Here is a 25,392-nt window from a genome sequence, read left to right as displayed (position 1 = left end):
GTTTGTTAGAATCATACAAGATGGTAACTTAAATATTTAGGCTAACACTAAACTCATTTTAATGCAAGGAGAGTGAGGGAAGTGAGTCCTACTTTTTCCAGGTTAGTGGTAGAGCCATCTGTGGCTGAGTTTTCTGATAACATACAAGGCAGTATAGAATAGTGATTATGAATGTGAGCTCTGGAATTGGATGGCCTAAATTCAAGTCCCCACTTCTGCTACTTACTAGCTGCGTGACCTTGGACACCTTCAGTTTGCTAAGTCTCAATTTCCTCATCTGTAAAATGCAGATGATAACATTGCCAACATCTTAGGACTATTGGAATTAAAAGAGATGTACTTTACATTGTAAACTACATTGTAAGGCTCAGTAGATATAGACTGTTCTCATTTGTGCTATTCCAAATGGTCTCTCTTGTTGTTCCAAAACGGAAATCTTGCCATGAACACTTTGAACTCCGATTGCTGCTTCATTTTCATTGTTTTCATTGACTTGAAAATGAAGAAACTGTTAATATACAACTTTATATAATTATATAACTATATATGAATAGTATATACATATGCATATGCATATATTGAGTTGTGAAAATATTCAAGTGAGATTGTTTAATAGAATACTTTTATTCTCAGGATAGTGGTTGCTTTAAACCTGCAGCTTTGGAAAAGGATTTAAATGGCAACCTAATGACTTTGTCATCATAACCACATAAAAGATCTGGCAAGATGTGTAAATTTGGCCATATGGGCATGGTTGGCAAGACCTTTGAGTTGAAATTGAACTCACCCAACAAGTTGTTTCATCAAAACATTGCCTGGAAATGTTTTTATCTTACTACATGGTGGTTGGCTTTCTAGCTAAATCCGTTAGTAAATGGAGAATGTGGCCAGTTAGAATAGTATGAAGCAGGAGATTCGGTTCATCCAAATTGTTGAGCAGCTGGAGCAAGTGAGTCATGTTCAACTGACACTGGACAGCTGTCCGTCAGCTCATAATCATGAGAAGAGCTTTATGAAAAAGCAGCTGGCTTCAGCACTGCAGCATCATCAGAGAAATGCAACTGCCTGAAATAACCCAAACTTTCCTCCCATCCTTGCCTACCCTGAGAGAGCTTTAACCTACTGTGGGCAGCCATGAAGTCCTTCCCCAACTAAAACCATGCAACCTTCCATCAAGGAAGGTATTCTTTAGGTGTCCTGCACTTTCAGTTTTCTTTTCCTTTTTTTTTTTTTTTTTTTTTTAAGGAGGACGATTCTGTTCTCTATCTCTGGGTTTTTTTCCTGAAGGTTTTCTGAGTCAGAATAAGAAGTTCATCAGAAACCATTTTGATGGAATAAACTAGCATGCCTTCACACATTAGCTCATTCTCTAGTTCACTTTTTTCAACTTCCTGTAGATAGTAAAGCAATGAATATGCAATGAGAGGATATGTGTGTCTATATGTATGTCTACTGTAGTGTAAACATGTTGATGAGTGGAATTGTTCTTTTAGCAAAGATTAAAAGTATCACTAGAATGCCTCCTGATTGCCAGCAATGAAGCTTTGTTTACTATTTTGGGACCACAGAGTATAAAAAAATTAACAGCCTGTATCATAACTGAAGTTGCATGCATTTATGATATGCTGGTTTTATTTGTGCATTGTTGCAATGGGCTTTGCCAGATTGCTGAGAAGAGACTGCTGCAAGTTAACAAGTCACAGGGCTGCCTGAATGATTTGATTTACTCCAGGGTCTAGCCAGTGCATTCAGCTTTATTTGTTAACCTAGCAGAACATTATTTATTAATGAGTTCTTCATGCTTTATTAAACCTAATGTCAAAACACCTCTCTGGGACCCTACTAGGCATGTTTCCTCTTTGTGGTAAGGTCTTCCAAAGAAAATGAAAAATTATGCAGCAGAGCCGCAGTTAAAACCCAATAGATACCAGTTCAATTGTCCTTGATCCTGTCAGATGGTATTTCTGAATCTTTGTGAAAGATCAGAATATGATGCAGTATGGAACTGAAATTAAAGAGTCCGCTCCTTTAGATGTCAGTAATTAGATCCCACCAAAATGAAACAAAGCTTCTGTGGCCCCAGAAGATGAGTGGACTCATCAGCGGTCACAGCTAACAAATTCAACAGGAGGTGAAAAGTACAGATGCAGTCTGTACAACAGTAATGAGGAGGTATAGGCTTATGCAGATATCATAGTGATTTGAGATTAATAACAATGTGAAATAACTAAACACAGCTGTGGCATAGGGGCAATAGACTCTATTCTGAATATACCACCGAGTCTGCTGGCATATAGCAGCAGGGGCCTGTGGGAAAGGAGAGGAAGCCTTGATGGCCAGGAGGACAACCAGTGGGTATGACAACATACAAAAGGCAAAAGGCATGGAACTGTCAGCTGAGGATTCTCCTGGCTTCCTGGGGGAGGGGTGGGACTCAATAAGGGCAGAAGGGTCATATCCATGGGGAAATCCAGGCAGCAGGGGGATATAAAAGGGTAGGTGAGTGTTGACACCCTGGTTTAAGGCATCATGACACACTCATCAATCACTTGTAGGGAGAACCAGAAATGGAACCAGCCAGGGTTCGGGGTCCCATGCAAGAAGACTCGATTTCTCTGTCCTGAGTTTTTTGTTGCTGTTGTTTCTTGTTTGTTTGTTTGTTTTTGAGACAGAGTCTCGCTCTGTCACCCAGGCTGGAGTGCAGTGGCGTGACCTCGGCTCACTGGAAGCTCCGCCTCCCGGATTCATGCCATTCTCCTGCCTCAGCCTCCCGAGAAGCTGAGACTACAGGGGCCCGCCACGACGCCTGGCTAATTTTTTGTATTTTTTAGTAGAGACGGGGTTTCACCATGTTAGCCAGGATGGTCTCGATCTCCTGACCTCGTGATCTGCCCGCCTCGGCCTCCCAAACTGCTGGGATTACAGGCATGAGCCACCGCGCCTGGCCCTGAGTTTTTATCAGGAAACTACAGGACAGAAACTAAGGTTTAGAAATAATAGGGAGTAATTACTCTATCTCAGCAGTCTGTGCAAGTGTCCAGGACCTATCCCTGTCACAGGATACATGAGGTCTATTGGTAGTGAGGTCCAACAGCAAGTCATGCTAGATGCTGGGACTGAGGCTGTATCTGCCCTTTCTATTGGCCACCAGGTTTCCGTGTGCCATGATTAGCTTAAGAGTTGGAAGCATCAGTGATTCTTGTTCTGGGGCCTAGAGAAATTGGGCTCAGAAATAGTGTCTGAAAAGAGAGCTGTCTATTTTATAATTTCTCAGTCTTGCTCTCTACCTTTTGTAACAGCTAAAATTCTGTGTGGCATACAACTCAGTATTTAATTATGCAGATTTTGTTACTGTCCTTTCTAATTGTTTCTGACGTGCAGTTAAGGAGTAATTATGAGCTCCTATCATGTGCTGGACACATTGGGAATTAAAAACGTGTCTCAGTTACAAATCTTACGGGAAACTTACAACAGAGTGAGGAAATATACATGTCCAAATGTAAGGCTATTATAAGTTAAAAAGTTGTCAAGGTCATGAAAGAGTAAAAAAGGCTGGGGAACTGATACAGTTTGAAGGAGACTAAGGAGATGTGACAATTAAATGCAATGTGGGATCCTGAATTGGCTCCTGGACGAGAAAAAGTACGTTGCTGGAAAAACTGGGGAAATTCAAATAAACTGGAATGTTTAGTTAAAAGTTATGCAAGATACTAACATTGGGAGAAGCTAGTTAAAGGGTATAACAGGAACTCTGCAACTTGTCTGTAAGTCTACATTTATTTCAGATTAAAAGTTTGAAAAGTGATAAATGCTATAGGGAAGATGCAGATGACTATCTTTGGATGTTTGAGAAAGAAAGCTTTACTTCAGTTGGCGAAATAAAGCTTCATAAAGAGGCAGTTAGATATCCAAAGGTAAGATAAGAGACATTTCCTGGGACAGAAAACAGAGTGAATGAAGGCTTAAAATCAGGAAAAGGGAGAACTTCTCTAGGAAAGAAAAACAGAATAAGTAAAATGAAGAGCATTGTAGGCCTTGAGGAAGAACTTAAGATACAATTTATAGGTATAGAGAGAGGCGAGAACATGTAGAAAGATTAGTAAGCAATTTGATTTGCTAGAGTTCACCATATGTGAACTGAGACTGAGTGGGGATCAAAGATGGACTGGGGATCGTAGAGATAAAATAGTGAAAGATTTTGAATACCAAGTTAGGAGTTTTTCATGCCTCTCCTATGCAGCAAGATATCCCTGCACGTGTTTTACCTTGTCCTCTAGGAGACTATGGATGAGTATGATAAAACTGGGATTGTACCTTATCTTGAGATACCTGGGGACAGGTATACAGGAGGAAATATCTTAAATTGGAATGTTACAAAGAAAAGGGAGGAAGCTGCAGAGAATGCTTTAATCTGAAAGCCAGAAGACAATACTGTACCTGGGAGAAAGGTTAAAAGTGATAACAGACAGGAGGAAGGGAAATACTAGACCGAGAAAGGCAGAGTCCCTGGTGAAGCCCACCCTCAAGTCTGGACCCACAGCCCAGAGTGAGAACATGCCTTCCTGTTTTCCTGCCCAATGTTGCCCTTTCCAAAACTAGCTTTGCCTGCCCTGCCCACCCCCCCACCCCCGCCGCCATCCTGTACCCATAAAAACCCCAGGCTCTACTGGCAGCAGAGCAGCAAAGAAGGAGAGAAGAGGAGAGGAGAGGAAAGGAGAGGAGAGGAGAAGAGAAGCAGCCGGATGTCAGAAAGAAGAAACAGCTTGACTTCAGAAGGATGGCTTGACGGCAGGACTTCGAAGAAGAGTTCAACCAGGGATGGCCGAACTCCAGGGGAAGGCCACATTCCCAATCCATCCCCTTTCTAGCTCTCCATCCCGCTGAGAGCCACTTTCATCGGCAATAAAATCCTCTGCATTTACCATCTTCAATTCATTCGTGTGACCTGATTCTTCCTGTATGCTGAACGAGAGCTCAGGATACAGAAGGCTGTCACATTGAGCTGTTAAACACTTAAGCCATTTGCAGACAGCAAAGCTAAAAGTCCTGTCAGCACCCAGAAGCACTCGACCTAGCCCCTGCATCCACTCACCTGCATTCTCCCCCTCCCATGAGGGGTTGAGGGTTGCAGGCTGAGTACACAAACCACCCCTTTCTCGAGTCCCTTGAAGGGGTCAAGGGAGCTATCCCATTTCAAAAGAACTTACTAACTAGAGTGAAGGCTCTTACTAACCTACTGAAACAGGCAAGTTAAGAGTGTTGTAAACACAGGCAATATATTTAGAGTTAACTGCTTTAAATGTTTTCAAGAGATAAAATGGAGAGAGCTTTCTTTGATAGAATTGCAAAAGTAAATATGTCTAAGTTAAAAAGAGGACTATTAAAATGCTAAATAATACTGGGAATTATCTAAATATATAAAAGCATTTATGGTCTAATTAATGCTTTTTTTAGTAGGGAATAGTAAACTGCAACTGATGTTTTGTTTTCTCCACCAGGATCTATAGAATATGAATGTTGGCATCATGGTGTTAGGGTTCAAAAGGAGGAATGATAAATTGGAGGAGTGCTCATTACTCTGGGGCAGCAAGTGAGAAAAGAGCAATGAAACATCAACATCACCATGTATCCATACATCTCCCAACTGAATGGTAGAAGCTCTCTGTAGAGAAAATATATTAGGAATTTGGAATATCCATCATCACTATGACTACAACTTTGCAGAAGGCCAGCCTGCCCTTGTTGAAGAAAGCTCTGTGTATCCTAGAGAGGAGACTCCCTGTGGTGATAATGATCCTATTAACTCCCAGTCAGTGTCTACTAAGGAGCCTGGTTATAAGTGAACAGCATTATCTGTTAGCAAGCAGGGACTCCATTAACACAAACCCCTTTAATCGGGGATCCAGGAGAGGCCGTTATAGACCACACCCACAGCCATGCTTGAAATATTGGACTCTGGTTGCCAGTTCTCACAAAATCATTCCAAAGTGTGACAATATGTCTTTCTATCATATTTCCCACGCTGTTGCAGAACAATGTGGGGCACATAACATGTGCACATGTTATGTTACTTGAGGATATTTTTCCCATTCATTATGTTTTAGGCATTAGCAATTACCTTACATGATCTTTCAATAATTCCAAAGCTTCTGAGTATTCAGAGTCTATTTTGAATTCTATTTGATTCTTCTTGCTTAGTCTGTTATGCCAAGTATTTTCTGTTCCACTATAGTATCATAAGTGGAAACAATTTTCTGGTCCTTCTGTGTAATTCAGGAATATATTAATGAAAGCTGGTTTTAATACATTTTTCCCTGATATTTATAAAGTTAAATGCTTGTCTTAGTAAATGGAGTCTTTATATTAATAGAATATGGCATAATTTTAGGAAATATATTCATGAGTCTCATAAAAAATTCCTAAAGTTACTAAAAAGAAAAATCATTTATATAGCCATCATATAAAATGTTTGTATAATTTCATCTTTAATTTTATTATTTTGAAATGGCTTTTAGAATGAGTCATAGGAACCAGTGGCTCTCTGGAAATAAAACTTACAGATGTCATGAAACTGAGGAATAACTCACACAATGGAAGTTAGGATCAAGACTGAGAAAGATCTGTATTGTCTACAAAACTGGGCTAAATCCGAGGAAATAAGATGAAGTGGAAATAAATGTAAAGTCCCATTCTCCAATTAAAAATTTAAAAAGTAAATTGGGAGGAACTTAGAAAGAAAAACATATATGAAAGATTCTGGGCATTCATTTAATAATTAACTCAGTATGAGTTAGAGATGTGATGTAATTGCCTAAAAGCTCATATGATATTAGATTATATTTGTAATAAGAATGTGTCCAGCATGACAACCTGTCTTACTCTAGGTTGGTCACATCTGCAGCCATGCCTAAAATAGTACATTATGTTTTGAAAGCTGCACTTTACTAAAGCAGAGACAAAATGTGTTCAGAGTACGACACCTAGGATTATAAAAGGGTTGAGGAGTAACCTGAAGGAATGGGAACCTTTGGCCTGGAGGAGGTAAGATATAGTGCGGGACTGAAAACTGTCTTCAATATTTGAAGGCTGACTTGGAGAATATGGAATTTAGACATAGGATAAAAGAGGGAGGAAAGTGTGGAATGGTATGTAAATCTTGTCTCAATTTACGTAGAAATTTTATAACTATGACCAAGATGTCTGGCAAGTAGCAGTTGTCCCTGAATTGGGCAAAGGCCAATCACTGCTCATTGCAAATGCTGAGCGAGCTATATCTAAATGCAGTTGGTCTGAGGGAACAGAGCGCCTTGTCCTTGGTACCTTCTAAACCTAGATGTGAATGACACAGAAGTGTCCCAGACCTTAACTGGGTATAGTACATGCTCTTATGGACTATAATGCTGTTATGGTCCATTTGTCTCTTGGAATTGTAACAAAATATCAGTTTTGCGTTCATAGTAAGCCATTTAATGCAGCCCCTGTTAATCCAGTTCATATTAGTTGATGTTCACATTGCCGCTGCTTAAGCTGGAGAATTGCTAACAGTTTTCTTGTCCATTTTTTTCAGAAACCAGAGCAGCTGCTACAATAGCTAAAATAAGCTAAAATCCCTTAAGACATGAATTGTGATCACAGATTTTTTAATGCATTTTTTGTTCATATAATTGAGGTGCAAGTCTACAAGAGGCTTTTGCTTTCAAATTATGTAATGAAAATGTAGAATATACCTAGAGGGGCACACAGATGAATGGAGCTACAAAATCACTACTGCTCATATGGAATTTTTATTTCCTAATTTCAGTTTGTAATTACTACTAATAATGAATATTTTGTCTAAGTGTTTTTGCAACATTTCCATTTTATTTCATCTGGTTGATTTACAATAGAGTATTTACATTTTTTGCCTTGGATGACATATCAATTTTGTTACTTTGGCCTTTGACAGAAAAATCAAAGGCTATGAACAACCTGGTATGGTGTCAAAATTCTATTTGAGTAATAATTTTAATAGATTTTTTTAAAAAGCCCAAGATACATTGAAAGTTCACCTTATGCTATTGCCTGAGAATTTTCTCTTTCTATATTACCCTGAAAGGAGAACAAACTTGAAGTTTATGCTACTGTGCAGCAACATACACAAGCATTCATATGTGTGTGTTTGTATTTTCACTCCCTTTCTTCCCTCTCCTCCTTCTCCCATTTCTTTTTTCCCCCTTCTGACTTCCAGTCATTCACCCAAGATATTTGAGGTTGTATTCTTTAACTGATATGGGCTATTTATTTCTAACCAACTTAAATTAATAATTGCATGCCAGTTTCTACTATAAGGGATAGCAAAATAAAAATTGGAACAGTTACAAGTAATTTTCATCTTCTGCTTAATGGCTTTCTTTTTATTAAAATAAGCATCCAGAATTTGAATACCAAATCATTTATTCTAACACTGCTTAATGAGTTGGTGAGAAGATAAGCAATACTCAATAGAAAAGCTGAAAGAATACAGGAAGCAAAAATGTAGGAAGAAGAAACTTTAAAAAAAAGAGAAAATTGGGTCAGAGGAAAATAATCTTGAAAATTATGCACAGGAACATTGTTAAAAAAAGAAGGTATAAAAAATACACAAGTTTTTTTTTCAGTAATAAAAAAGGAATTCAAAATGCACATTTTTTAAAAATTTAAAATATATAATTAGTAATTTCCAAAACAAAAACAGTGCCAAAATTTAGCATATACTTAATGAAACTTTGCTTAATTGAATTGAATTGACTGTAGAGAATGTACAGTCTCACTGGCAATGCAGAATGTAAAAAAGAACATTATACCCATTTTAGTTTGGCAATGATGAAGTGATTCTGAAAACCTGTACAGCCCAGATTCCACAGCCCCCACACCTCATAATTCCAATTTAACTAAACTAAAATCTGTTCTTTACATGCCAGCAATTGTTATGATCCCTTGTGGATTTAATTCCTATCCTTCTTGTTTGGCTTTGGCTACATTCATTGTATTCATTGTCCAGGAGTATTTAGTGAGCTTATAGTATAGCCCTATAAGCACTATATTTGGGAATAAACACATAACCCAAGACAAACCCTAAACTTTAAAATAGCTGCATCATGATTTACAATGAACAAAACACCTTGCATAAAATTGTATAAAGACTAGTTAAAGCAGGCATTATCATCGCCTTCTCAAAATTGAGAGAGCTAAAGCTTAGAGACATCAAAAGACTCATCCAGGGTCACTGAGTAAGTAAAGGAGACAAGAATGTTTCTTTCCTACAATGCAATACCAACAAACGTATCTATAGCTTTTATTAGTCTATGGACCAGTCAGATTCAGAGTCAACACGGCAATTTGAAAGGATGGGGTCTCCTGGTGGGTTGCACACTCGCCCCTGCAATGATCCTCTCTTCAGTTCTCATAAGCAATATGATTCTTTGTACTATTCTCCCCCAGCTAGGAAGCATTTGGCCTTGATCTTATTGGTGGTCATGAAGATTAAATGATACCATTGGCATTTAGTACTCAGGGTCAAGGGACAATAATTGTCTGGGTGAATGACCAGTGCCCACAATGAAGAGTTCTTCAACCCCAAATGTGGACAGTGCCTATGTTGAAAGCATGTTAGAGGTGAATTACAAATAGTGAATTATGATGTGTTTTTAAAAATTAGGCCCTCATAAACTAAAATTGATGATTATCAGAATTTATTGAGAATGTGCCTAAGAATGGGCCACCAACACTCAGAAGCTCCCGCACATCCACACAAAACATTGGGGTGTCCCCAGTTTTTAGAAGAAGCATTATCAGTGTCTCAATGATTAAGTTTTCAGTTGGCTAGGGTTTTTAATTGCTACTATTTCTAGTTTTAATTCATCATTATCTACTTAGGTTATTATGAATTATTTGGTTAACCGTGAAGTATTTAGTGATCCCTACTTTTGTGAGTGATATTTTTGGCCTAACTTAGAGTAACTATACTGTAGTAAGACATGGGATGTATTGTGGTTCAAAGAGGGATCCCTCATACTTCCATCACTAGAGTAGATATATGCACAAACTTCCCTCAGAATTACACAGCATAGTATGATATAGAGTAGTATAGTACAGCACAGTATAAGACATATGGTATAGAATGGTATAATTGTATTACATAGTAGTAAGGTATGTTAATAGTATAATAGTACTATAGATAGTACAATATAATACAGCAACAGTATAATATAGTTAGTAAGGTATTATGTATCACCAAGATTTTTTTTCATTGGAAAGGTGTAAAAGACAAATGGGTGGTGGAGGCAGGGGAGTCTTTTGTCCAACCAAAGTCAGTTAAAGGAGAGAGAGTGAGAGAGAGAGCCTGAGTTATAGAGCAGGATAATCTGAGTTTGGACTTCTCGCTGAGAATGCTTGGCATGAAACAGTAGGGATGAGCCTTCTTCACCATGACTGTCTTTAGGGGAATCCACTAGGCTGCTTTAATGCTGCTCTTTATGCTTCTCTATTTATAATGAAGTGCTGTGAGACCCTGTAGCAGAGATAGTATTGTTTTTTGTTTCAATATCAACTGGTACTTTTTCTCTACAATGAAAAATGTTTTGTCCATAATATATATCACCTCGTCTCTGGTTTTATTGTTGAAAACCACCTGACTTGCGCTCCTTTTCTTTTCAACATTTTTTATTAAGAAAATATTTGGAAGGAAGCAATAATACTAAATTGCAGAATTACAAAAGGGCAGCTTATACAGCTAAATTTTAAGATACTCTGAGGGACAAAGAAATAAAGCCACTGATGCTGGGTAAGAAAAATGTGTGACAATGGAAGTATGCAATGTGATTTACTTGGCTGGCTACCATGTAGGAGGAATAAATTCTATAATCTTGCCAAAACCTAAGGGAAATGTGAATTGAATAGCAATAAATAACCTTATTGGAAACAGTTGAATGTGATATACTGTATCCTCTAGCCTTAATACATGAAAATTTCTCATTGATTGCAGCATCAGACTCAAGTAGACTGAAGATGGGGCAATTTTTAATGTACTCCACAATGTCCCTTCTGTTCCCTGCCACAACCTTCTCAAACTTGATGAGTTAGAAGGTCAGGTTAATCTATGTATGCAACTCCAGGCTTTTTGGCCTCTTTCAGGATTAAATAAAACTTATAGAAAATGTTTTTCTCTGTTCCTTTCATTTTGTTGTTCAGAAGCCATTCTATGTTTATAAATACTGTATGTTTAGTAACATTTTAATTTCTCTTATTCGACTAATGTTTTAAAGGTATGACCACTTTAGAACATTTTCTTATTCAACCCTCACAGTATTGCTGTGAGCTAAAAGAGAGTATTATTTTTCTTGCATGTTTACAGTTGAGAACATTCAGGCTTAGAGTGTTATGTGACTTGCTCAATCATATGTAGCAAGTAAGTGGCCAATCTGGGGCCAGATATCTGGTTTCTGCATCCCAAAACTGAGTTAATAAGAATTTTTTCATGTGAATGATTATAATTTATGATAGTTTTATTTCTGCTGAAATGTCTAGTTATACCATATTTTTATTACTGAGCAATGTTATAGATGAATAAGATGCAATTTGCTAGCTTCATTCAGACAGTTTCTCACTTATTTTAAAAATGTGAGTATCTATCTGTTTTGTGCATCAGGAGGAAAAAAGAAAAAGAGATACAAAAACTGCCCTCAAGGAGTTTACAGTCTAGAGGGGAAGCAAATAAATAAATGTGTTCACTGCAATACCATAACAATTTGTGTAGTACAATAAAAAATACATTTGGTCTTTGTCCTTCCTCCACCCCCAATAAAGCTCCTAAAAACTGTTCGAATTTCCTGAGTGATAAGGGTGTCTTTTCGTCTGTTAATTAGATGACTCAAGAGTGAAGAGGGAGCAGGAAGGTCTAGAAAAATGGAATAGAAATAGAGAACCCAGAAATAAATGCAGGAATTAGAGCAGGGGTCCCCAACCCCCTGGTACTGGTCCATAGCCTGTTACAAACCAGGCCACACAGCAGGAGGTGAATCGTAGGGTTGGGGGTTTGGGGTGGGAAAGTGAACATTACCTCCTGAGCTCCACCTCCTGTCAGATCAGTGGCAGCATTAGATTCTTATAGAAGCATGAACACTATTGTGAACTGCACGTGTGAGGGATCTAAGTTGCCTGTTCTGTATGAGAATCTAATGCCTGATGATCTGAAGTAGAACAGTTTCATCCCAAAACCATCCCCAACCACTACCCCGAGTCCATAAAAAAATTGGTCCTTTTCACAAAAGAGGTCCCTGCTGCCAAAAAGGTTGAGGACTACCAAACTAGAGAGTTAACCCTTTCAGCCCCACCAGTTGATGTCCAGGGAGCGGGGAAGGGCTGGTGATTGAGTTAAATCATCAATGACCAATGATCTCATCAATCATGCCTATGAAATGTAACTTCAATTAAAAACTTTGAGACTTCAAGACTAAGAGTCCTTCCAGAATGGTGGACATGTTGATACATTGGGAGGGCAGAGTAACTGGAGAGGGAATGGAAGCTCTGTGCTCCCTAACTCCCTATATCTTCCCCTATGCCTCTCTTCCATTTGGTGTCTCCTGAGTTGCATCCTTAATAATAGGCTGGTTATTGTAAGTACAGTGTAGTGTTTTCCTGAGTTCCATGAGTCATTCTAGCAAATAATTATACCTAATAGGCTGGTTATTGGAACCTCTAAATTTGTAACCAAGTCAGACAGAAATCTAGGTAGCCAGAGGACCCAGGACTTGAAACTGCATCTGAAGTGGGACATCCTTGTGGAACTGAGCCCTTAACGTGTGGGATCTGCACGAATTCTACGTAGTTAGTATCAAAATTGAATTAAATTGTTGGAAACCTAGTTTGTGTTAGAAAACTGTAGAATTGGGTGTTGTTTGGAAAAAACAAACGGCAGTGTTCACTATGCCCTCAAGAAAAGGCCGTGAGCATGGTTCAAGGCATATGGAGTGTGCATGGCCAGTATGATACCCTTTTGATTACCATGTATTCATGTTTCTACCAGGCATGTTGTGTACTTATCAAGAGCTGGTAGAATTTGGTCCCAAACTATTTGTGCCAATAGTATTCTCGGGATAGCTGTATATTTTAGTTAAATGTTTAACAGGTTTTAGAAATATAAGTACAAAATGAAAGGGTAGTTTCTATGAAAATCAAGTAAATTCTTTGGAAAGACTCAATAAAGGCAAGTTACAAAAAAATTCTATCAAAGTGGACAAGACAACTCAAATATTAAAGAAAAAATAATTCTGGAAAGTTTAAAAATAAAGTGTGTGTTTTATACTATAAAAGTAAATCTTATAGTGTAAAATTACCCAAAAAAATACTTTAAAACATACTTAGAGCTTTTTAAAAATATATGTAAATATGAATTACCAGTACAGAAGTTTTAGATTTAAAAAATGCATCAACCCTAAAAATTCGTCAGAGATGTCTATAGTATTATTTTGAAGATATGAAACTGGAATTTGTAGATGGTAAAATATAGGTTGTGACTTAGTAAGGAAGAAAATAAAAGAGTACCAATCACCAGTCCTACATTCAAAGAAAAGGCCTTGATTTTCCTTTAAAAGATGATTTCATAATGCATGTTGGGACCTAGAAACTGATACCTCAAAGTGTGGCATTTTGACATGCTGAACTGAAGAAGCCTCAAGGTCATTCTGACCTTCTATCCCACCACTGTCTCTCCCAAAGCCCTTATCTGCCTCAGATCCAGACCTATGAAAAGGAACAATTGTTATTTTTCCCTTCCCTGTAAGACCAAGAATGTAACCACACCTGAACAAAGCTTTTCACAGGAAAATGTACAAGCTAATCTCTGTTCCCTGATGCATTCATTCTCCCTAGTAATTCCTTCCACAGAATTCCTCTTCTCTCCATGGCCATAACCTATTTTGCCAGGATGGTATACACGCTTCCGAACCCTGTTGGAGGGTAGGGAATCACTCTGTGGTTCTCCCTATGTATACATTAATAAATTTGTATGCCTTTTCTTTAATTGTAACTGCCCAATGGGTTCCTCTTGCCTGCTGCACAGAAAATCCAATCACACTAAGACAGTGGTGTTGTGGTAGAGAAAACATTTAATTATTGCTAAGCCAGCCATGCAGGACAGGAGACATTTCTCAAATCTGCCTCCCAAAAGCTCGGAGCCTAGGATTTGTAAGGATAATTTGGCAGAGAGAGGCTAGGGAATGGGTGCAGTTGATGGTTGGGGATGAAATCAGAAGAGTGTTTAAACTGTCTTTGTGTGCTGAGTCAGTTTCAGGGGAGGGGGAGTAGTCACAGGACCAGTTGACTTCATTCCTTGGTATGACTTAGTTCCTTGCTGTGCATTTGGGCTGTCATCAGAATGCAAAAGTCTGAAAAATATCTCAAAGACCAATCTTAGACACTATTTGACAATAATGATGTTATCTATAGGAGCGACTGGGGAAGTTACAAATCTTGTGACCTCCCGAAGATGGCCATCATCATCTAATTATGCCTACATCTTAGTAGAATTCAGGGTTCCCACATAATCCTAACCTTGTGGCCTTTCATCAGTCTTACAAAGGCGGTTCAGTCTCCAAGCAAGGAGGGAGTTAATTTCAGGAAGGAACTGTTACCATCTTTGTGTTAAAGCTAACCAAGGCAGATAGCTTGTGAGGTTAGAAGCCAGATGGAGTCCCTTAGGTTAGATTTCTGTCACTGTTATAATTTTTAAAACTACAAAGGCAGTTTCACAGTTAATCTGTCTTTTGTGAGTTCAGCAAGCCTTCAGAGGGAAAAGGGGAGGTTTCCCTTGGCCCCTACATCTTTTAAGTTAACGTGAAATGTACATGTTTTAAGTTAACGTGAAATGTACAAATGTACAAAGTATTAATTGTCAATTTCCCACTTTAGCCACTTTCGCAGTTAACTAACCACCAGTTCTGATTACAAAACAAGAGAGTTGGCCATGCCTCAACTATTCTGTTTTTGGTTAAAATTTTTGAAGTTATCGCCTGAAAGCCTAGAAGATAATGTTCAAAATTTAAATTATTTGCAACACCATTTTGTCAGAAGGGAATTATGACTTCAGTTTTCATTTGAGGAGAGTTAATCAAATTTTAGTGAGTATATTACTCTCATATTTATTTTGAAATAAAAAGCATAGCCCTCAAATTTTTCTCTTTTCTTCTAAATTATTTATAGAACAATAGAGCTCTCTGAATCTACCAAATGTCTGCTTCATTACTCTTCCTCCAGGCTGGCTTCCCCTAACTATTCTAGACTATGTAGGAATGTGCTCTAGGCTCATGATTTCCTAAGAGAGGATTTTGTGACTTTGCTCATTTACCTGTAAATGAACCTGACAGCCAACCTATTGAGATTTTAATTTTCCATGCATCAAACCCTAGTCTCACCTGCTGCTAGTTTCAAACTCCACTTGTTTAATTTGTTCAAATATTCATTGACTATTTCTATGTAACAGGAACTCTCTGGGCACTTGAGATACAAAGATTCCTGCCTTCATGGTACTTATATTTTAGAGGGGAGGGGAGAAGATAATCAGAAAATAGCAATAAATACAACAGGAAAATTAATGAGTATATTAGAAAACAGTACAATGGGAGGAAGGCAGCAGGATAAGTGGGGTCAGGAGGACCAAGGATTGGAGAATGGGGTTGCAGGATTTTTAAAAATTTTTTATAGAGACGAGGTCTTGGCTGTGTTGCCCAGGCTAGTGTCAAACGCCTGGTCTCAAGCAACCCTGCTCCTCAACCTCTCAAAGTGCTAGGATTACAGGTGTGACTCATTTTCCCCGGCCTTTTGAAATTTTTTTTTAAACTTTTTTGTAGAGGTTGCAGTTTTAAATAGGGTGGTCAAGATAGCCTCTGATGTGATTTGGCTGTGTCCCCACCCAAATCTCATCTTGAATTGTAGTTCTCATACTCCCCATGTGTCATGGGAGAGACCCGGTGGGAGGTAATTGAATCATGGGGGCAGCTGCCCCCATGCTGCTATTCTTGTGATAGTGAGTGATTTCTCACAGATCTGATGGTTTTATAAGGGGCTTTTCTCCCTTTTGCTCAGCACCTCTTGCTGCCACCATGTAAAGAAGGACATGTTTGCTTCCCCTTCTGCCTGATTGTAAGTTTCCTGAGGTCTCCCCAGCCATGCTGAACTGTGAGTCTTTCCTTTATAAATTACCTCTTTCCTTTATAAATTACCTTTATAAATAAACCTCTTTCCTTTATAAATTATCCAGTCTCAGGTATGTCTTTATTAGCAGCCTGAGAACGGACCAATACAGCCTCATTGAGAAGCTGACGTTTAGGCAAAGTCTTGAAGAACGTGAGGAATGCAGCCATGTGGGGGAATATCACAGAGGGAGCAGTGACCCTAAGGTGAAAGGTGCCTAGCATATATGAACAGCAAGGAAGAGAGTGTGCCTGGATGAGGTCAGAGAGAGAACTATTAAAAGAACAGTTTGACTGCCCTTCTAAAGATGGCAGGACAAGAGAGGGACCAATGGTAAAAGCAGGGAGACTAGTAAACGACTATTGGAATAACAAGTAGGAGATTATGATTTCCCACTCCTGAGTGATAGCAGACGAGATGAGGAGTGGCCAGTTCTAGACATGTTTAGAAGATAGACCCAGCAAGATTTCTTTACTATAGGTAAAAAAGAGAGGTCAAGGATGACTCCAAGGTTTTTGTACCTGACAACTAGAAGAATTGAGTTGCCGTCAAGTGAAATAGAGGAGATAGTTTGAGGAGCAGGTTTATGGAGAAAGATCAAATTTAGTACTGGACATATCAAGCTGGGATTTTTATTAGACATCCAAGTAGAAATGTCAAGTCAGCAATTGCACGTATGAGTCCAAAGTTCAGAAGAATTGTTATCAGCTTATAGACTGCTCTGTTCGTAGAGGAGCTGATGATCAGCCAGTCTTCTCAACTGGAGTTTCACAATAGAGTTAAGCCTGCTTGCCTTAAAACATCTCTTGTATCTAATAAATTAAGTTATATCTTATATGTACAAAATAGTACTGGTTATGGAGCATCCTTGAGAGAATTGATGAATCATTTTTTGTGCGTTCTCTGAGGTGCTGATGAGGAAGTGCAAATGAGAAATGTTGCTTGCATGCCTAAAGAAACTTGTTATTTTGTCTCTTTTTCAGTCAAATTTTCTTAATTCTCATTCTTAAGATAATTAGAATCTTAAAAATATTTGAAACCATCTTATAAAACCTTAAATAGAATACTATAAATCATTGTTTCTCAAAATGTGCACAGTTTTAATTGGTGTTTGCAAAAAGGCATGTGTTTGGGGGTTGGGGGCTGGGGGAGCTCAAACATGTATAGTATTTTGAAAGAAAAATTAAAATTAAATCTTTTCCCAACCCAGAAATCCCCTCCACAAAGGTATAGAACAAGAAAGTACTTTTATTATTGAATATGCATTAAACCAAAATGTGATGCTCGTTACAGGCAATTCACTGTGATATCCACTAAGATTTTTCAAAGACAAAAAGGAATCTCACCACCTTGTATAACCGAGCATTTACAAACCCATTATATACATGTTTTCAAAATAAACAATAACTAGTTCTCAAATGAGAGGACTTGCTAACACCTTTTGTCACACATAGTGTGACACTATGGGGTGATCATCTGTGTTTGCTTATTGTCTTTAACCAGAGGAAAAACAAACCTCATTTTGTTTTTGTTTTTGTTTTTGTTTTTAGTTGAAGTTTCACTCTTGTTTTCCAAGCTGGAGTTCAATGGTGCAATCTTAGCTCACTGCAACCTCCACCTCCAGGGTTCAAGGGATTCTCCTGCCTCAGCCTCCCAAGTAGCTGGGATTACAGGCACGTGCTACCACGCCCAGCTAATTTTGTTTTAGTAGAGATGGGGTTTCACTATGTTGGTCAGGCTGGTTTCGAACTCCTGACCTCAGGTGATCTGCCCCTCCACCCCCTTAGCCTCCCAAAGTGCTGGGAACACAGGCGTGAGCCACCGTGCCCTGCCCAAACCTCATATCTTTACAACAGGAGGTAGCTTTGCAAATTGGAGCAAGGTGCCCATTGAAGTTAAGCTACTTGCCACAAAACTGGAAGATAGAGGTGCTATCTTTTTTGGTGTTTGCATTTCAAAAAGATGACTCTCATGTCCTTAAGAAAAACATTTTTGAGACATAAAGCTGACAAAAGGCCTATCTAGCTCTCAAAAGGTTTATAGACATTTTTTAAAAAGAAGTATTTATTATTTATTAATACAATGGTAAATTTTCTAAAGTAGATGTTCTTTAAAAAATAAAAGAGGGGAGAAAAGTATCTGTTCCCTTATTTTCAACAGGAGGATTCTCTTATTTTTAATTTTTATTTGTCCTTACAATAGTTAACTCTGGTTGTAAAATAAGATAAACATTTTTTTACTGTAGGACTTCTCAGAGCTCTTAATGTGCTTGTGTGCATTATCAAATACCAAAGGAGAAATATGTTTTGCAACATTTCTCAAACTTATTTGGGCATAGAATATTTTTTTTAATGGAGCATTTCATAGGAACAATATTCCACAAATTCACACACTGGAAAAAGCCACATTGACCAAACAGGGACCTAATTCCAGAAAGAGCAGAGTATTTATTTTGTTCCAGTACATTATCCTGTGCTGGCATCCTTTACGGCCATAAAAACTTAAGTCATTTTTGCAGTCAAATTTGTAGTTTCTTATTGTTTTCCCTGTTTATTTTGGTACATGGTATGCTATTTTAATGTCTCTAGTTTTATATTTGGTTAAAACATAAACATTATATATTTCTATTTTATCACTTTCATAATAATGGCATCAATATTTTATGACTTTCATATTTTTACCCCTACCACTATTCCCTCAGTTCTACTTCTAGACAGTTGCCCTATGTCTTGGAAGTGCCTTGGTATCTATTTGAAAATCATATGTGATATTTTAAGTTTGTAAAATGTTTGTGATTCTAAAAGTAACCTTTTATAGGCCAATTCACTGCTCGAGGGCACTGAGTCTCTAGGTAGCTACACCTGGGAATAGAGGTGTGTGTGTGTATATGTCATAAACAGATGTTTGGTCATCATGAGAATTAGGCATACAACCTGTGATTATCTAATGCATTTATTAAAAAAAAAACTTGTACTAAGTAGCAGATATTTCCATTAATCTCTCATTTCTACTTATAACCACATGATTTACAAAGTAAAGTCCACAATCAGTATAGAATGCTTCCAACTATGCACAATTATTTCTTTAGTTTATTTAATTGTACATTGAATTTTGTGAATTTACAGAGTTTTCTCAGAATTTCTTCATACAACCTGGTGAATCACTTTCTGTGTCAGCTCTGCCGATGTGTAGAACAGAAGGTGCTAATTGCACCTTAAACCTATTCCCTATTTTTCTGCATTAACTCTGATTGTTCCTTTGGGTTGATCTTGGAAATTCTGATGACTATGTGCCTGGGGAATGATCGAATTGTATAATATCTTGCAGGGGTTCTCTGTTTCTTGTATTTCTATGTTGACCTCTCTAGCAAAATTGGGAACATTTTCATTGATTATATTCTCAAATATGTTTTCCAAGTTGCTTACTCTGTCTTCTCTCTCCAGAATGCCAGAGTCATAGATTTGGTTACTTTGTATAATCCCATATATCTCAAAGGCTTCGTTCATTTTTTAAAGATTCCTTTTTCTTTATTTTTGTCTGACTGGGTTGATTTGAAGGATCAGTCTTTGAGCTCTGAAATTTTTTCTTCTGCTTGGCCTAGTCTGTTGGTAAGGCTTCCAACTGTATTTTGAAATTCCTCTAGTGAACTTTTCAATTCCAAAAGTTCAATTTGCTTCTTTCTTAATATGGCTATGTTATCTTTCAAATCTTGGATCACTTTTCTGGCTTCCTTGGATTGGATTTCAACTTTCTCTTGGATCTCCTTGAGCTTCCTTGCCATCCAGATTCTGAATTCCATGTCCATCAACTCAGACATTTCAATCTGGTTAGGATCCATTGCTAGGGAGCTAGTGTGATCCTTTGGAGGTAACAAAACACTCTGACTTTTTGAATTGCTGGAGTTCTTGTGCTGATTTTTTCTCATCTAAGGGAGCTGGCATTTCTACCTTTTTGAAATAATGTCCTTTGCAGCAACATAGATACAGCTGGAGGCCATTATCCCAAGCAAATTAGCACAGAAACATAAAACCAAATATGACATATTCTCATTTATAAGTGGAAGCTAAATCTTGAGTACACACAAACAAAGATGGGAACAGTAGATGCTGAGGACTCCAAAAGGAGGGAGGGAGGGAGTGGGCAAAGGCTGAAAAACTTCCTGTTGGGTACTATATTCACTGTCTAAGTGTTGGGATCAATAGAAGCCCAAACCTCAGCATTATACAATATACCCTTGTAACAAACCTGCATATCTACCCCAGAATCTAAATAAAAATGGAAATTAAAATAAATATATATACAATGAGATTTTTTAAATTTGACAAATGATTATAAAATTCAACTGGAGGATAAATATGTAAGAATAGTTGGAAAACGTTTTAGACTACAATGAATTATTGTAGAGTATATGGGAAGTCATCAAAACCTAAGAGATATTAAAATGTTTTTAAGGTGCAGTTATTAAATTTGTATGGGACTGACAACAAAACAAACAAATATCAATAATACAGAATATATAGTCTTGAACAGGACCAAATATGTGCAAGAACTTGGTAAGTGATTTTGTGGCAGTTCATTCATTTATTTGTCTATTCAAAAAATAAAGTACTCATTAAAAACAACAAAAAAAAAAAAAGAAAGAAAGAAAGAAAAAACACTGTTCCATGGAATAGAGAGGTCTCTTCTCATTTTAACAAAAATGGCTGGTTCTTGACCAACTGGTTGGAGCCCTGGGGCCTTGGGCTGTCTCCATCCTGAAGCTAAACCTATCTTGTCTTTTCAAGGCAACAGCTACCAAAAAGACAGCACTGCATCTTTACTTCTTTACCCTTCAATAGCATTCTTTCCTCAATCATTGCTCTTTTCACCCAATGTTTATTTTTTTTTCCATTTACAAACTTGCCTGGACTTTAGTTTCTCCTTCCTAATAACACCAAATCCCCTCCTTTAAAAACAAAATCTTTCAAAACTACATTAAACGAAACAGTAACTTCAAAAAATAATCATATAGCTTATTATCATCACACATTGTAAATTCCATATCAAGTGACTCTTACTTCCTAGGCTAAGACTCTACTTCTATGGAATTTTAGGTCTTTTTTTTTTTTTTGTGGAGCTCCAGCCTGGCTAAGAGGTGCTTACAATGATGCTAATAATTGAGTTTTAGGCAAGTAATGAAGGAGACTTCACGAGGGCCGCTCCCTGTTTATTTGGTTTTGTCATTAGAATTTGGGCAGTACATTATCTGTTTGCCCTTTCAAAGAGTAAACACAAAGAAATTAAGTAAGCTAAAAGAACCTACTATAAGGTTGTAATATCTCATTCTTTTACAAAAGCCCCACTCAGCGGAAGGACGGGTATGGAAAGATCTTTTTGCTTTTTTGCTCAACTCCGTCTCCCTGCACCCCAATTCATAGGCAAAACAGAAAATCCTAAGAACAAACTGGCAAAGCTACAGAATATAGACCCCCATACTAATTTCCCTGATTTAATGTAGATCTTACTGTTACAGTCTCGCCAATGCATCACAATGTAGCAGTGTCTCATTGTGAAGTACCACCCGGAGTTCTTCATCTCACAACCAAGAGAATTAAGAAGTGTGGACACAAAGGGTGAGGTTGGAGCGAAAGTTTAATAAGTGAAAGAAGAAAGCTCTCTGTCATGGAGAGGGGGCCCAGAAGAGGGTTGCTGTTTTTACAGTTGAACGCAAAGGCTTTTATAAGAAACTGAAGAGGGCTGGGCGTCTCATTTGCATAAGCCACGAATTTCTGGTAGCTCCACTCCTGTTCTCCTAGTGTGCATACAGGCCCTTAGCTTGAGTTACTCCATATTGCTTTGCTCCCCTTACTGTGCATGTATTAGAGGATGGAATTTTCCATTGAGGGCATGTCTTAGACAAGGCCTTCTGTACAAGTTCCCTTATCTGTGCCTGCAGGCTGATTTTTCAGGCTATTCTTTTGTTTGAAAGAATTCAACCAAGGACCCACCCTAACTGCCTGCTTGACCACTTTCCCTCTTTCTCCTCTCTCCAACTGAAGTTCACTCTTATCCTTCCTGAGGACATACACCTATAAATTCTATTTCTTCCATTTATCTACCTAATTGCATATTTATTAACAAATGATATTATCAGTTCTGCCCCACAGTGTGATTTCTCCCCTCTCAGCATAGGCCAGAGGCCATGAGCCCACAGGATTATAAAACAGATAGAATCCTGGTCCTGGACACAGGTGTATTTAGTGTGGCTTGTGCAATGCTTTAACAATTTTTTTTTTTAATTTGCATTCCTTTACTGTGGAAGGCACACTCCAAGCCTGACCTCACCACTCTTTATTGGCTTACAACAGCTGAATGCACACATTTACCTGCTTAGTGACATGGGCAGTGGGTCTGGTCTCTCTATAGCTCCTCAGTTTGACTCATATTCATATATCTCATTTTCTCCAGCATACAGGATTTATTTGCCTCTAGCTGCAACTTCCCTTCACCAAAATGATCATTTTTCCCTTTCTCAGATGGCCTGACCTAGAAAACTAGAAAAGATCTCTTGACTGTGGAACTTGGTCATCTCTGGGGAACTAGCTCCCTCTAAATCTGCTGACATCATCCAAACAGCAGTTCCTTAGTGGCTCTCTGGATTTAATAATGACTTGAAACTCTCGGGTAAAGTGGTGGAATGTGTAATCTAAATATCAAGGTTATGTGTCCTGCCCACTTTCTTTGTATCTTTCAGTGGTATCTATTGAAGCAGGTCAGCTGAAGAATGACAAGGTTCATACAAGTGGAAAGGAGAGCTTTATTTCTCATAAAGAGTTGCAGCCTGCAAGGTGGCTATTCTGATAGGCTGGGAGGCACGGCCTCTGGCCAGATGCCAGAAACAGACTGCTTTGAGGGTGGGACAAATAGGACAGGGTTTTATGCTGAATGAGATGGCCAAATATACATATTCAATAAACTATAGGAGGAGTCATAAATATTCATGAAAGGAGAGACCTGCCCATGTGCAACTGAGCTTCATGCCTCTCCATGGGACCCATGTTCTAAAATTGGCAGCATTAGCATGATCCAGGGGTAGAATTTTCCACACTCTGATGTCAAAGGGTAAAGCAGGGGACACGAAAACCCTCACTGTGTATCCTCCACAGACTAGCCTGAACCACTCCATGGTGAGTGCTCCTTTATCAAGAAGAAATGCTGGTTGGCTGTTGTGCCAAAACCACAAAAGGGAGGGCCAGCAATCAGGCAGTTGGTTGAAATAGCAGTGGAGTCTTTTGAAAGGGCTGGTTTCTGTTTAGCCCTTACATAAGAAAGCCTAAAGGCAGTTAACAAAGAGACTACAACGTGACAAAGTGTGTCCGACCTCCCATCCTGTCATGGCCAGGAACTCAGTTTCCAGAGTTTCTCTGATGTCCCTTTGGCCAACAGTTCGTTCATCCAGTTGGAGGGGGGCTTAGAATTTTATTTTTATTTACGAAGTGATCATAATTATTTAATATTATTCAGCTAAAGGGAGCTAGCTTTTAGGAAATTAATTTCTTCAGGTCTTTCTTGCATCCAAATGCCCAGATTTAGTCAATGCAAAAGATATCTGTGTTCAAATCAGTTGAAATTAGAGGATTGATTTCTGAGTTTTCCAGCACGAATGATAACTTGTTTCTTTCAATATGATTCTCTTCTCTTCAAAAGATAAACTTCATGTATCTTGATGAATACATGTCTCCTCCTAAAGTATGTACATAAGGTACCTAGTGACAGTATGTTCCTTGCACTTATTTTTATAGGCCCATTTATCAACTTACTTCATAATTTAGGAGACCTGAATGCTTAGATGGGCTGTGAAACAGCTATTCAGACATCATTCAGAATATATGACTTGGAAGCTGCCCCCAGGAATAGATTTCTGATTTGTAGAAGAGAGTACCTGTCCAAAGGAATGTATAACCATAATCTAATATTGCTTATTGTTAGTGTGAAGACACATGTGGAGGAAATTTCACTCATAATAGTAATATTGATTACTCAAGAAGTAGTTGTCTTTGGGGGATAATAATACTGATAGTTAACATTTTTAAGTGTTTATTATGTGCCAGGCATTACAGTACTATTTCATTTAACCCTTAAAAACCCTACAGTTTAGGTACTGTTTCTTTTCCTATTATATAGATAAGGAAATTAAGGCACAAAGAAATTAATAACGAATTTGTTCAAGGTCAGTGCCAGGGTTCATACCAGGGAGAATGATGCCAAAGTTTAGTGTCTTAACCTTCATGTGACACTGCTGCATATACATGCTTCTACCACAGCCATTGTAGTCCCCAAACACACCAAACTCTGTGTTCTGCGAGGTTTTCTCTTTATCAATAATAAACTTTACTCACCAGGTCCATCTTTTGGCTTGCTACATATCCTTCAAAATATGGTTCCTATATCACCTCATGTATGAGGACTTCCCTGACTTTTCTAAGCAGAATTATAGCTCTTCTTTTCTTCAGCTCCCATAACACTGTGTGTGTGTCTGTCTGTCTGTGTGTTTGTTCATATGTTTGTCTTCCACCAGTGCTGCTTATGAAGCAGGTAGCTTTCATCTCCAGGGTTCCACCCATTAGTGATTAATAGAAGTTTGCTAATTGAAAGTGCTCCATGAATGAGTTAACAAGATATTAACCACTTAGTCCTGGTTTGATAAAGACTGCTGTGATGATAGCATGACAGAACCTGAAGAAGAAGAAAAAAATCCCACAGATATACACCCATGCTCTGATTAAGTTAAACTTTTAAAAAGGTGGGGGCAGGTGGGAGAAATGAAAAAAACACTTAGATTATAATAACCTTCTATGAAATGCATGGATATAGCAGTTGGAGAAAATAGTAAAATCACTTTCTGTTGCATAGAAGCTCGTAATATGACATCTTTCAGAGAAACTGTGGTAGTCTATATATATTTTGACTGACGTTACAGTATCTTATTTCTTTTTACTTTATACCCCTAGGGTAGAAGCTATGACTCTGGGACCAATTTTCCCCAAATTGTATAGTTCTGAGGTCTCTAGCTGAATAATCTGTGGCTCTCCCTCTGAGTCTTCTAAATTTTCCAAAATGGAGTGCCACCCTTTTTCCTGGGTCTTGCCTTTTTAATTGACACTTTAGAATTACAGGACAGTTGGCTCTTGTCTTGTAATTTTGACA

At 38.1% G+C, this 25,392-nt stretch overlaps 1 protein-coding gene and 1 long non-coding RNA gene across 12 annotated transcripts in view, besides 2 other annotated features; one reads left to right on the top strand and one right to left on the bottom strand.

Moving 5' to 3' along the window:
* HDAC2-AS2 (HDAC2 and HS3ST5 antisense RNA 2) overlaps nt 1-25,392 on the bottom strand; it is a 371,029-nt gene that overhangs the window by 122,759 nt on the left and 222,878 nt on the right. The window lies entirely within an intron of this gene.
* HS3ST5 (heparan sulfate-glucosamine 3-sulfotransferase 5) overlaps nt 1-25,392 on the top strand; it is a 287,428-nt gene that overhangs the window by 125,053 nt on the left and 136,983 nt on the right. The gene's annotated exons all lie outside the window — the stretch shown is intronic.
* Nucleotides 13,681-14,180: an enhancer, noted in NCBI's record as "H3K4me1 hESC enhancer chr6:114524955-114525454 (GRCh37/hg19 assembly coordinates)". NCBI's record gives its function as "activates a minimal SCP1, AML or CMV promoter by ChIP-STARR-seq in primed H9 embryonic stem cells {active_cell/tissue: H9 hESC(primed)}" and the evidence as "EXISTENCE:reporter gene assay evidence [ECO:0000049][PMID:30033119]".
* Nucleotides 14,181-14,682: an enhancer, noted in NCBI's record as "H3K4me1 hESC enhancer chr6:114524453-114524954 (GRCh37/hg19 assembly coordinates)". NCBI's record gives its function as "activates a minimal SCP1, AML or CMV promoter by ChIP-STARR-seq in primed H9 embryonic stem cells {active_cell/tissue: H9 hESC(primed)}" and the evidence as "EXISTENCE:reporter gene assay evidence [ECO:0000049][PMID:30033119]".

Source organism: Homo sapiens, chromosome 6, assembly GCF_000001405.40.
Source record: "Homo sapiens chromosome 6, GRCh38.p14 Primary Assembly".
In the NCBI taxonomy this organism is placed as follows: Eukaryota; Metazoa; Chordata; class Mammalia; order Primates; family Hominidae; genus Homo; species Homo sapiens.
Note: the sequence above shows the minus strand (reverse complement) of the source record. Positions and strands in the feature narration are given on the sequence as shown.